This window comes from Homo sapiens, chromosome 16, assembly GCF_000001405.40.
Source record: "Homo sapiens chromosome 16, GRCh38.p14 Primary Assembly".
NCBI classification, from domain to species: Eukaryota; Metazoa; Chordata; class Mammalia; order Primates; family Hominidae; genus Homo; species Homo sapiens.
This window is the reverse complement of record NC_000016.10, coordinates 2442213-2455657: the sequence shown is the minus strand read 5'-3', so window position 1 is coordinate 2455657 and position 13445 is coordinate 2442213. Positions and strand designations below refer to the sequence as shown.

Below are 13445 nucleotides of genomic sequence, written 5' to 3'. Positions count from 1 at the left end.
CAGCGCTCGCACAGGGCCGGGTGCCCAGAGGCCCTCGGTGAGAGCCACCCTCTGTGTGATGTCCCTTCTGGTGCACCCTGGCCCCACACTCACCGTCGCCCTCCTTCTCGCCCTCACTCTCCTGGTCGCCTTCATAGCCAGAGCAGCAGTCCAGGCTCCAGTCGAGGAAGCTGCCCAGCAGCGTCTCCTCCTGGCTGGACAGCTCCGCAGTGGGGGTGGTAACGAAGCTGCCTCTGTCTTCCTGGAGGCTGTTCTCCCGCTTCCTGCAAGGTGGAGAGAGCCCAGGAGACCCAGTCATGGACGGCGGCGCTGGGAGGCCAGGCCCTCCACACCTGCCTCTAACACCCGCGTGCCCCAGCCTGTCACCACGTGCTCCCAAAGGTTCTGCTACGAAGAAGATGCCGGTGAAGCTAGAACAGGTATAAGCCCTTCAGGCAGGGCCAACCTGGAGGACAGCTCAGGCAAACTCAGGCCCCAGGTCTGGGTGTGAAGCCCAGCCCACCCGGCTCAGCTGTGGGGCGTGGGCCAACCATCTGGTCCCCTGGAAACCTCTAGGATGATGCCACCTTCCAGTGTTTTTTTTTTTTTTTTTTTTTTTTTGAGGTGTTCTTGCTCTGTCGCCCAGGCTAGAGTGCAGTGGTGTGATCTTGGCTCACTGCAACCTCCACCTCCCGGGTTCAAGTGAGTCTCCTGCCTCAGGCTCCTGAGTAGCTGGGACTACAGGTGCCCGCCATCACACCCAGCTAATTTTTATATTTTTAGTAGAAACGGGGTTTCACCATGATGGGCAGGTTGGTCTCGAACTCCTAACTTCAGGTGATCCGCCCACCTCGGCCTCCCAAAGTGCTGGGATTACAGGCATGAGCAACCGCACCCGGCCCCTCTGGTGTTGATTAATAAGGTGCAGGCAGTGCTTAGCCCGGCGCCAGGCAGATTGCATGGAATGGCCTGGCCTTGGGCGGTGCTGACACCCACACCCAACTGGGGTCAAGTCTTGCTCAGGATGGGGCTAGAGGCCAGTGTGTGGGCGTGAGCCTGGGAAAAGCCGCCACACCAGCTGAGCCTTTCCACTTCCTGACCCCAGGGCCTGGTGGAGGGCGGGGGGTGGAGAGAGCTATCCCAGTGTCACCCGTGGGGGTCTGTCTCAGAAGACTGATGGGGCTGTGGGGGGCCTCTGAGAAGCGGGTTTAACACAGCGAGGCTGAGCACAGGGCCAGGGCCAGGCCCCCTCCTGGAGTAGCCGTGCGTATCTGCATGGACTTTCCTCGTGATGACCCTGGCCCCAGGGAGTCGGTGCGTGTGTGGAGTGACACAGGAGGGTCAGGTCTCCTGCCTTCCACACAATGGAAAGTGCTGTCACGCTTCTTGGGGAGGAAGCAGCAGCAGGGGCTTTGGCTGCTTCCCCAGGGCTCCCCAGGAGTTGAGGTCTCCTGCCAGGAGCCCACTCCCGACACAACGCTTCTGGAGGCAGCCCTGCCTGGTCCTATATTGACAGGAAAGACCCAGCCACCCAGTGCCTGCCCTTGGGAAGGTTACTGGTGCACATGGTGCTGAGGGGTCACGGCGCAGGGCCAGCAGCACAGGGAGGGCCCTGTTCATCGGGGCCTTGTGGAATCAGTAGGAGTTCTCCAGGCGGGTGAGGTAGAAAGAGGAAGTTAACTCCAGGAGGAACAGCCAAGGTGCTGAGATAGGAGAGGCGGGTAAACAGGTCCACACGGGTGGCGAGGGAAGTGCTGGGGATGTGACTCAGGTCACAGCTCGAGTGCCGGGAGTGACAGCAGCATCATGGAGCAGAGAAGTCCAGGACGCGCATGACAGGCACGGGCAGGGCTAGAGCCAGGCTAGGCTCCCGCGTGCTCGAAACCATCTTCCTCCACAGGGAGCCCAGTCAGAGCGAGAGGCAATAGCCTCTGAGGAAGGAGACCTGGGCTGGAGACAGTGGAGGTTACGCAGGGGCCCGAGGCATGACTGCAGGGCTCCGTCCCAGGGTCACTGTCCTGGGATCTGCTGCTCCCCTGACAAGCCTTGGGGGCCTCTCTGTGTGAGGAAGCGCTGAGGGAACTGGGCCGGCACGAGGATGCCAGCATTGTATGGCGCAGCCAGAACGCAGGGTAACTAACCGTTTGGTTCTCCGCCCCGAGGGAGAGCTGAGGAAGGCGTGGATCTCCCCTGTGCTGAGGAAAGTCGGGGGGTCGGGGCTGTCTTGTGTCACTCCTAATGCAGCACACAACTGGCTGTAGCTCAGCACCTGAGGGGAAGCTAGAGTTAGGGGGTGCAGAGGCCCCGAGGGTGAGGCCCGCCCACACCCCAGCACCCCATGAGACGCCCAGGTGGCGGGAGGGAGGCACCTCTTCCTGGCTGATTTCTCCATAGCGCTTGTCCTCAAACCGCTGCTTCACGGCGGTCAGAGAGACTTGCCTGTAGTCCTTGGGGGCGTCATCATGGAAGCTGGAAACAGAGTCACGTGGAGTGGACATGTGAGGCACCCCCACCCCATTTTTAGCTTCAGTTCACTGAAGTGAGCAATGAGAATGCAAAATGGTGCAGTCACTCTGGAATCTGACCTGGCAGTTCCCCGAATGGTTAAACTCAGTCACCACAGGACCTAGCAATTCCTCTCTAGGTAAAGACCCAGGAAAAAGGAAAAACTATGTCCACACAGAAACCTGTACTAGAATGTTCATGGCAGGACTGTTCACAATAGGCAAAATGTCCACCAGCTGCGGGATGGATAAACACATGTGGTCCATGCAGGGGAATATTATTCAGCCATGAAAAAGAACAAAGCAGGGACACACACCACATGGACAAACCCAGCAAACGTTACCGCGAGGGAAATCACCTAGACACAGAAGGCCACTTGTCCGATGACGCCATTTATATGGAATGTACAGAATGGGAAACATCCATGGACAGAAAGTAGACTACTGGGGGTCATCTAGCGCTGAGGAAGTTGGGGGGAACGGGAGGGTGACAGCTGAGGGGTGTGTTGTCCCTTTGGGGAAAGTGAAAATGTCATCAATTTGATTGTTGTGATGACAAGCACAACTGTGTGAATAAAAGCCCGTTAAATCACACAATCAAAGGAAGTGTAGTTTCTAAATAACGTTTCTAATTTATCTTGTTTGGAAAAAAAATTAACTTCTTCAGGAGGAAGAGAATAAACGCAGCCCAGAAACAGCTTTTGGTGGCCAGGGTTGGGACGATCTGTGCTCCCCATAAGCAAAGGTGGGTGGGACGAGACCCATGCGAACCCTTCTACTGTCAGCCTCGTTCCTTGCCCAGAAGGCACAGGGTCCGGGCACTGCAGGAGAAAGCAGCATGAGCAGCAGCACATGCCAAAGCCCGGGAGATGCCACCAGGTCCCCTGTGGCTGGAGCACAGCATGGTGGGAGAAAAAGCAGATGGGCCACAGAAGGGGCTGCTCAAGGGCATCGAGACCCCCAGGGAGTTCTGATCTCATCCTGGAAGCCGGACAGCGAGGCCCTGGGTGACGTACACGGGACATGTGCGGGGCGGCTGCCACAGTGTTCCAGGAGGCCGGGCAGCCGCCACGGATAGCTCCAGTCCCCAAGCTGTGAGCGCACGAGGAAACTGCACTGACGAGGATGCAGGGATGGAGAAGCAGCAGCGGCTGGTGGAGGCCTCAGCTGGGCACACAGGGCTTCATGCACCACGACCCACCAGGGCCAGAACAGGCAACAGGCCGTTGGCTGAGTCACGCTGGCAGGGGGGTGGCAGGTCAAGGTTGAGATGTGGCCTGAATTCTGGAAGTGGTGAAGTCTCCCAGGAAGGAGTCTGAGGAGTGGCAGAAAGCCAGAATTCCGGGGCCCCTTGGGGTGGGTGGGAAGGGAGACCAACACCTAGGCCGCATGGCCTAGGGCAGGAAGCCGAAGCCCCCGAGGGAGGGAGGGTCAGCGTAATGCTGGCTGGAGAAAAGCACCCAGGCCTGCTGTGCTGGTGCCTGTGGTTTCTGCTACTCGGGAGGCTGACACAAAAGAATCCCTTGAGCCCGGGAGGTCAGGGCTGCAGTGAGCTAGGATGGTGCCACTGCACTCCAGCCTGGGCCCCCAACTCAAAAAAGGAAAAAAAAGCCCACACCGCTGAGTCTGCTGGATTTGGCTGAGGAAAAGGAAGCCATGGCAGAAGCGGGGAAGTGGGAGACCAGGGAGTGGGGGTGCCGAGAGGTGGGAGGAGCAAGTCTGTGAGCACAGCTGAGGAGGGGAGACGGAGATGGCTGGCCGGGTACAAATTCAGCCCCGTGCTTGTCCCCCTCACCCCTCACTGCCATGACTCCACTCATGGCCCCCAGCCCCACTGGTCTGCACTGGGCCCTGGCATGGCTGCCCCCTTTGCCCTGGACTCAGATGCCCAGGTGACCCCGGCTACGCTCCCTGAAGGGAGTCGCCCCCGCCCGCGCCACCTGCCCCGCGCGCCTGCCTGCTGTTTCTCTCGTCACGACCTGACCTCTGAACTCTCTGTCCTGCCCTCTCCCCCAGCGCCTGGACCACGGTAGGGACTTCATGAACTGCATGGAACAAACCAACGTGGGCTGAAGGGAAGCTGCCAGGGCGAGTGAAGGGGCTTAGATGTGGCGAGGGCCGGGCCAGGCTCACCAGAGAGAAGGGCGGAGGGGCCGGGGCAGGTGGAGGGAAGCCCAGTGGGGCTGGGGCAGACAGGGGGTCACATCCGGGCACGACGGCGCAAGGGACCCACCCGCAGTCTCCATCTTCTCAGTGAGACAGAGGATAGCTCTATCCCAGCAGCTGCATCAGGGCAGAAGCTGTTCTCTCAAGGGAAGGGGAGTATTTTCCTGACTGGGGGCCACGTGGTGTCCGCTGCACTATGAGCTCAGCCACCGCCAGAGCAAAAGCAGCAGCAGACAATGTGGAAACCAGTGAGGGTGGCTGCTGCCAAGAAAACCCCATTCGCAAAAGCAGCCAGATGCCGCCTGAGGGCCACGGTGTGCCAGTGCCTGAGCTAGATGACAACTTGACAACACGCACAAGTTACCACGGGTCAGGGAGATGCCCTCATTTTTTCTAGTATGTTCTGCTGCCTGTGCAATGAGCTTGGGTTGGGAGCAGCTGCTCTCAATGTGAAAAATGTGTGAGATAAGAAACTACTGGAACTTTTTTTTTTTTTTTTGAGATGGAGTTTCACTCGTTGCCTGGGCTGGAGTGCAATGGCGCAATCTCGGCTCACCGCAACCTCTGCCTCCCGGGTTCAAGTGATTCTCCTGTCTCAGCCTCCTGAGTAGCTGGGATTGCAGGCGCATGCCACCACGCCCAGCTAATTTTTTTTTTTTTTTTTTTTTTTTTAGTAGAGACAGGGTTTTGCCACGTTGACCAGGTTGGTCTTGAACTCCTGACCTCGGTGATCCGCCCGCTTTGGCCTCCCAAAGTGCTGGGATTACAGGTGTGAGCCACCATGCCTGGCCAGTTGTTTTTAGAGACAGAGTCTTGCTCTGTCACCCAGGCTGGAGTCCAGTGACGTGATATCAACTCACTGCAACCTCTGCTTCCTGGGTTCAAGCGATTCTCCTGCCTCAGCCTCCTGAGTAGCTGGAATTATAGGCGTGCACCACCACGCCTGGCTAATTTTTGTATTTTTAGTAGAGGTGGGGTTTCACCATGTTGGCCAGGCTGGTCTCAAACTCCTGACCTCAAATGATCTGCCCGCCTCGGCCTCCCAAAGTGCTGGGGTTACAGGCATGAGCCTCTGCGCCCGGCCAAAACTCACCACTTCTTATGGAGGCTCAAGACGCAGGGAATGAGGTCTTCATAGGAGAATCCGGTGAGGTCCCACAGCTGAGTGGTCCAGGGCTGTGCTGGGGAGGAAAGCAGGCCAGGGGTGGAGGGGATGGAGGGGACGGAGGGGATGGAGGGGACGGAGGGGCTGTGGTGACAGCCGCCTGAACACTCCCGCTCTATAGCTCTGTGGGCTCTGCTGTGGAGTTTCTTGGAGCTCAGGGTTGCAATCCTTTTAAAATAGTTTTGAAAAAAACCCATACATAGGGCGTGCAGGCTCATGGTCAGAAATCTGGGACATCACTGAAGGTAGGAGCCGTGCTGTATCTCACCCCCCAAGAAGTAACCAGGACAAATGGATGCTGGACTCTTTTCCTCCCCACAGCCTCCTCCTATGTCAGCACCTTCCCCGACACAGGCATCCCTGGGAAGGGCCACTCCTTACTCTGCCCGTGCGTCAGTCTGGCCAGGAGCAGGGCTGCGGCAGCCAGGCGGGCTGGGGCGTAGGCGGACAGGCTGGTGTGCAGCAGGGAGAGCTCGCAGAGGAAGCTGCACAGGTGCTGGGTTCTCAGCTCCACAGGGACTAGCGTCAGCAGGACCTCCTTGTAATCCACCACAGTGGGGACCTAGACAGCCGGGACGGGGTGTGGGCTCTCAGCGCTCGGGGGCTCCTTGGTGCAGTGCCGCATGCAGGCCCAGCGCAGGGTCTGGCCCGGATGATGTTCACGCCGATGCTGCACGCGTAGCGCACCAGCGCAGATGGCGACGTGGTGCAACCGTGGCCTCCTGCTCCATGGCTTTGGGCACAGCAGAGACAGCTGCTCTCTGAGTCCATGAGGCCCTCCCACAGCAGGAAAGCTGAATGCCCACCCCCACCCTCCAGCACAGCGACAACGAAGATTAATAAGGAAAATGGAACCGCTGCTTACTCGAATCTTCCCTTCCAAGGCGGAGACGATCTCGCCCATCATTCTCACCAGGTCCTCGTACTTGTAAGTGTTGTCCGTGAGCCATACGGCCTCCCGGATGGTCAGGATCTCTTTACTGATAAACCTGCAACGCCGAGAAGGGGTCTCAGGGTGGAGCCCACTTCCTGGGGCAGGGGTGGGGCGGAGGGACCCAAGGCTTTAGGAGGCCTCAAGGTAGGGAGGGAGCCATGGCGTTGGGCTTTGGTGACAAACAGAGGCTTCATAATGGAGCCAGCTGCCTGTGGCTGACAAGGGGCATTTAAAAAAGGGGAGGCCCAGGCAGGAGGACAGCTCAGCCAGGAGTTCGAGACCACCCTGGGCAACAAAGCAAGACCCTATCTCTTCAAAAAGTTAAAAAATAAAAAATTAGCAGAGCATGGTGGCACGTGCCTATAGTCTCAGTTACTTGGGACGCTAAGGTGGGAGGATTGCTTAAGCCCAGGAAGTTGAGGCTGCAGTGAGCTTTGATTACACCACTGCATTCCAACCTGGGTGACAGAGCAAGACACTGTCTCAAAAAATAATCATCATAATAATAACAAAGGGGAGGTCAGAAAGTGCTGGAAAGAGGGATGAGAGCCACAAGGCAGACAGAAAGCAGCAAGGCTGTTAGGCAGACTCACAAATGTCTGCAAAAGGCCCAAGTGCCCTGAGCATTCAGTTTGCTAAAAGACACCAAGGACAGAGATTTGCCTGTCACGTGACAGCTCTATCAGTGGGGTAGAAATGTTATAGACCCAGAAGGTGGGTGAGTCACCAGATCTAGGAATTGGAGGCAAAGGGCCCAAGGGTTGTTGGAAAGTCTGTGCCCGGCACTGTGTGGCCGCAGGAATCCTGACTGTCTCTAGGCGATGGTCACCCTGTTCTCTGTTGTCAACCAGCGCCAACTATCAGGGAACACGCTGCTCCAGCGGCCCCCCGCAAGGCACCTTCCCCTTGGACTGAGGCCAAGTCCCTTGGCTGCTCTGTCCTGGGGACTCTGCAGGTTGCATGCGTCATTCACTTGACCAAGAGGACAAGAGGCGCAGGGACTACACCTGCCAGCGTGGGGGCTGCAGACGCCAAAAAGACAAGATGTCAGTGGCCAATGAGAGCCCAGCGTGGGGTGTGAGATGGCTGGTGGGGGCAGGGCACCTCTGAGAGCAGAGGTGGGGGGCAGCTCAGCCTTTAAAATCTTTTTTTTTTTGAGACAGAGTTTCCCTCTGTCACCCAGGCTGGATTAGTGCAGTGGCGCTATCTCAGCTCACTGCAACCTCCGCCTCCCAGGTTCAAGTGATTCTCATGCCTCAGCCTCCCAAGTAGATGGGACTACAGGCGCCCACTACCACGTCTGGCTAATTTTGTTTGTATTTTTTTGAGACAGAGTCTTGCGCCATTGCCCAGGCTGCAGTGCAATGGTGTAATCTTGGCTCACTGCAACCTCTGCCTCTCGGGTTCAAGCAATTCTCCTGCCTCAGCCTCCTGAGTAGCTGGGATTACAGGCATGCACCACCACGCCCAGCTAATTTTTTGTATCTTTAGTAGAGACAGGGTTTCACCATGTTGGCCAGGCTGGTCTTGAACTCCTGACCTCACGATCCGCCCACATCAGCCTCCCAAAGTGCTGGGATTACAGGCGTGAGCCACCGTGCCTGGTCCCCGGATTTAAAAAAAAAAAAAAAAAAGATAATAAGGCAGAGTTGATTTGAGGGAGCTGTGGTGATAGTTATATGGACCACTGCAATCAGGTCTTGTGGTTGGGGAAGAAATTGGACTCAGCTCCCTGAAACGTTTTTAGCAGTTATTCTCTCACTGCCAGCCGGTTGTGGCCCAGGAGCTTTGTCGTAGGTTGCAGTGATGGATGTGCAGTCAGATCCAGGGAGGCGGCCGCCCGACCTCCTCAGTCGTCTCTGGTCGGAAGACCTGGGACGCTGGATTCAGGCCCAAGAGCGCATCTGAAGACAGCTCTGGATGCTTGTGGCAGGGTTTGCTCCCTCCTTCCATGGGAATGACACTGCATCGAGCTGGCACACACAGGCCCGAAGAGACTACACCTCCCAGTTCCCGTCTGGTGAGATGTGGTCACAAGACTAAGCTCAGTGCAAAGGTGAATGTGGCAGGTACAGGTGTCACAGGGACAAGGGCAGCACCCTAGTTGGTGGCAGAGATTAAGATGGGAGATGGGGCTCCTCTGCTTCCTCATGAAACAAAAAACATGCCAATGACCTGAGCCTGGAACCTCTGCCTCTGGGTTACCTGTGCAAGAAAGAAACAAGTCTCTGTAGCTTACACATATGCTGTGTGCAGCCAAGCCTATCCTCACCCACCAGGCTCTACAGAGGAGTCGGTCTGGAAAGCACTTCCTCGGGAAATGTAGACCATGCTGGGGACAGCTGGTTTAGGAAATGCAAATCGTATTGTGAGAATCATTTCCACGTTATTTCCAAAGGCGGAACTAGGGGATCCAGCATTAGTTAAAGGAAAGCAGTGGTCTGATTTGAAAAGGACAGGCTGCCGTGTAAGGACGCACGCTGCTGCTGAGAGACACCCACGTGGCTGGAGTGGGCTCTGCAGGGCACCAGTGGGGGACGAAAAACTCTCTAACTCCAAGAGTGTAGGAAACTCTGGCAACAGACTTTAGAACCCAACTTCAGAGAAGGGCAGCCAACTGCCACCCTCCCTGATCAGTCATCCTGCTGCCCTCAGGAGCCAGGGGACAGGGCAGTCCAGCCTGTGCCTGCCAGAGCGAGGCCACACTTTGGGTCCTGAGACTGCATGCCAGGATGAATTGCCTGGATGCAGGCACCCCACACAGCGGCCCCCACACGCTGAAGGCTGTTCTGCCACCCCTGCCTGCAAAAGGCCCTCAGCGTGGCACTCCATGTCTGACCAGGTGGGACACTCGTGGCTCATGAGTCAAGAACCAGTGAGGGCCAGGCGCAGTGGCTTGTGCCTGTAATCCCAGCATTTTGGGAGGTTGAGGCGGGCGGATCATTTGAAATCAAGAGTTTGAGACCAGCCTGACCAACATGATGAAACCCCGTCTCTACTAAAAATACAAAAAAATTAGTCGGGCATGGTGGCGCACGCCTGCAGTCCCAGCTACTCTGGAGGCTGAGGCAGAAGAATCACTTGAACCTGGGAGGCAGAGGTTGCGGTGAGCCAAGATCGCACCACTGCACTCCAGCCTGGGTGACAGAGCGAGACTTGGTCTCGGGAAAAAAAAAAAAACAACACAAAACAAAACCAAACCAGTGAGGAGCACATGAAGGGCAGGTGACCCTGAACCCGGGAAAGGCCAGCACGTCCCTGCCAGCTGGGCCAAGGGGGCTTCTCACCGGGTGCAGATGACCATGCAGGCGATGCCCAGCAGCTGGAGCCTGTACCGCGGCACCAGCCTCCTCCGCAGGTACCGGTCCACACACTCCACGGTCAGGTGCAGGCACAGGCTTGTGAAGTCCTTCATGGTGGCAACTTCCACCAGCCAGTCGATCAGAATGTACCTGCGGAAAGAGAAGCACGTGGGAACTGGTGGGGGCGTTCTCCATGTGTCCCTGTCTGCGATTTCAACCCCACCTGTTGGGCCCGACCAAATAAGCTGGCTAGCTCTGGAATCATGGGTTTACCCTGGAACCAAGGCTGGAGAGGCCATGTCACAGGAAGCCCGGGAGGCTCCGTGGGTCCCAGCCCCAAAGCAGGCCCCACATCCTTCGACTGTGTTCCTGGTGCTCCCAAACACAAGCGCTTTGAGACCTCGACCTGACGCAAAGTGAAAAGTCAGCCCACAGCCGTTGGTCTGCCCACAGTGGATGAACCCTGACCCTCGGGGCGTGCAGGGAGCGGGAGAAGGTGGACAGTCGCAAGGGAATGCCCCAATACGGTAAATGATGCCCCAATATGGTAAATGCCTTTCTGAATAGAGTGGAGACACTTGTAGTCCTACTTGGGGGACTGAGGCAGGAGAAAGGCTTGAGCCCGAGGCAGAGGTTACAGCAAGCCGAGAACACACCACTGCACTCCACCCTGGGTGACAGACAGCCTGCCTCAAAAAAAAAAAAAAGATGTTCAATGTGTTCTGTGGCTTAAAAAAGATCACTGCACTGTGGGAGGCTGGGGCAGGAGGTTCGCTTGAGCCCAGGAGTTCAAGACTAGCCTGGGCAACATAGTGATACCCTGTCTCTACTAAAAATACAACAATTAGCTGTGCATGGTGGTGTGCATCTGTAGTCCCAGCTACTCAGGAGGGTAAGGTGGGAGGATCTCTTGAGCTTGGGAGGCGGAGGCTGCAGTGAGCTGAAATCATGCCACTGCACTCTGGCCTGGGTGACAGAGCCAGACCCTGTCTCAAAAAAAAAAAAGGTGGCTGGGCGTGGTGGCTCACGCCTGTAATCCCAGCACTTTGGGAGGCGGAGGCAGGCGGATCACGAGGTCAGGAGATTGAGACCATCCTGGCTAATACGATGAAACCCCATCTCTACTAAAAATACAAAAAAATTAGCTGGGCGTGGTGGCAGGCACCTGTAGTCCCAGCTCCTGAGGAGGCTGAGGCAGGAGAATGGTGTGAACCCGGGAGGTGGAGCTTGCAGTGAGCCGAGATCACGCCACTGCACTCCAGCCTGGGTGACAGAGCAAGACTCCGTCTCAAAAAAAAAAAAAAAAGTAACTGAAGAAAGCAGAGTAGGATATTTTCTTCCAAAAAGTCCACGATAACTTTGGCATTACTGGTTTTAAAAAACACCCAAGGCTGGGCGCGGTGGCTCACGCCTGTAATCCCAGCACTTTGGGAGGCCAAAGCGGGCGGATCACGAGGTCAGGAGATTGAGACCATCCTGGCTAACATGGTGAAACCCCATCTCTACTAAAAATACAAAAAATTAGCCGGGCATGGTGGTGGGTGCCTGTAGTCCCAGCTACTCGGGAGGCTGAGGCAGGAGAATTGCTCGAACCCAGGAGGCGGAGCTTGCAGTGAGCTGAGATCGCGCCACTGCACTCCAGCCTGGGCGACAGAGCGAGACTCCACTTCAAAAAAAAAAAAAGGGTGATAAGGGAACTCTATGCCGCCCTGTCACAGGTAACTGGGGTTAAGTGGAAAGGGCTCCCTTCCCCTGGAGGCTGGCTTCCGCGCCGCTCTGATTAGAAGCCCCGGCCTGAATGCCTCACCTCATTGTGTCATTGAGTCCCTTCTGCACGGAGAAGACTTGTTGTTTACTGACAGCCTGGGAAGCCTGAAATAGCTGGCAGACGATCTCACTGGAAGCTCTCACCTCCAGTCCAAGCTGGTTTGCATTTGCACAGGCTTTGGCTAAAGACAGCTGAGGAAGAAAAGACAAACATGAGCGTGAGACAGCAGCCATGTTGCAGTTTTCCATTTCTGAAGCAAAGGCCCATTCAGGCACCAAATGCATGTGGACACACTGCCCTACTTAACTTAAACCTTCACAAGCTTCGGGAACAAGGATGGCTCAGGTTTTAATTATTATTCCTTTTTGTATAAGTAATAGATGACATGAGAAAAGATATATAATGAAATGTCAGTGGCCTTTCCACCGTGGCTCAGGTCTCAGTTTCTTACATGGCTAATGCCTGGGGAAGCTGTGTTAAGTCTCTGGCCATACGCCCCAGTGCTCTCCGAAAGGCTTCTGCCAATGTTTACACCCAGGAATAGGAGCACCTGCCTCATCACAGCTTCATCCCAGCAAACACTGTGATTATTAAAAACAGCTATTTTCAGAAGTTACCAGCTAGCCACCCAAAAACAGAGAAATATATATATATTATATATTATATATATATTATATATAATATATATTATATACAATATAAAACATATAATATATAATATGTAATATATTATATATAAAAATATCTATTATATATAATATATCTATAATATATATTATAGATATTATAACATAATATTATATTATATATTATAGAACATATAATATAATTATATAATATATAATTAACATAAATAATATATAATATATAAATATATAAAAATATATAATATAATAATATATAATAATCATATATATTAATATATATTTATATATTATATAATATATAATATATAATTATAATATAATATATATAATATAATATATATTATATATAATAGAATATAATATTACATATATTATAGAATATATTATATATTATAGAATATAATATATAATATTATATATGATATATATTATATTATTATAATTATTATATAATTATATGTTATACAATATATAAATACATATTTATATATAATTATTATATAATAATATGATATTATATATAATATTATATATTATATATAATAATATTATATTATATAATATTATATATTATATATAATATTATATTATATAATATTATATATTATATATAATAATATTATATTATATAATATTATATATTATATATAATAATATTATATTATATAATATTATATATTATATATAATAATATTATATTATATAATATTATATATTATATATAATAATATTATATTATATAATATTATATATTATATATAATAATATTATATTATATAATATTATATATTATAAATAGCTGGCAGACTAAATATAATTATGTTATAATATAATAATAGATATTATAAATATATCTAATTATGGATATTATATATATATAATTAAGGGCTGGGTGCGGTGGCTCAAGCCTGTAATCCCAGCACTTTAGGAGGCCGAGGCGGGCAGATCACGAAGTCAGGAGATCCAGACCATCCTGGCTA

At 52.8% G+C, this 13445-nt stretch overlaps 1 protein-coding gene and 1 non-coding gene across 3 annotated transcripts in view; both read right to left on the bottom strand.

Moving 5' to 3' along the window:
• Nucleotides 1-13445, bottom strand: part of CCNF (cyclin F) — a 29408-nt gene that overhangs the window by 3197 nt on the left and 12766 nt on the right. For both annotated transcript variants that reach the window (NM_001761.3, NM_001323538.2), the window contains 8 exons: nucleotides 11858-12009; nucleotides 10036-10200; nucleotides 6680-6803; nucleotides 6196-6376; nucleotides 5743-5830; nucleotides 2349-2448; nucleotides 2121-2248; nucleotides 94-263 (listed from right to left, as the gene is read on the bottom strand). In NM_001761.3, the coding sequence (NP_001752.2) occupies nucleotides 94-263; nucleotides 2121-2248; nucleotides 2349-2448; nucleotides 5743-5830; nucleotides 6196-6376; nucleotides 6680-6803; nucleotides 10036-10200; nucleotides 11858-12009 (1108 nt within the window). The remainder of the gene's footprint in view (nucleotides 1-93; nucleotides 264-2120; nucleotides 2249-2348; nucleotides 2449-5742; nucleotides 5831-6195; nucleotides 6377-6679; nucleotides 6804-10035; nucleotides 10201-11857; nucleotides 12010-13445) is intronic.
• MIR6767 (microRNA 6767) lies at nucleotides 10201-10266 on the bottom strand. The gene has a single exon (NR_106825.1). It is a non-coding gene; the product is annotated as a microRNA 6767 (primary transcript).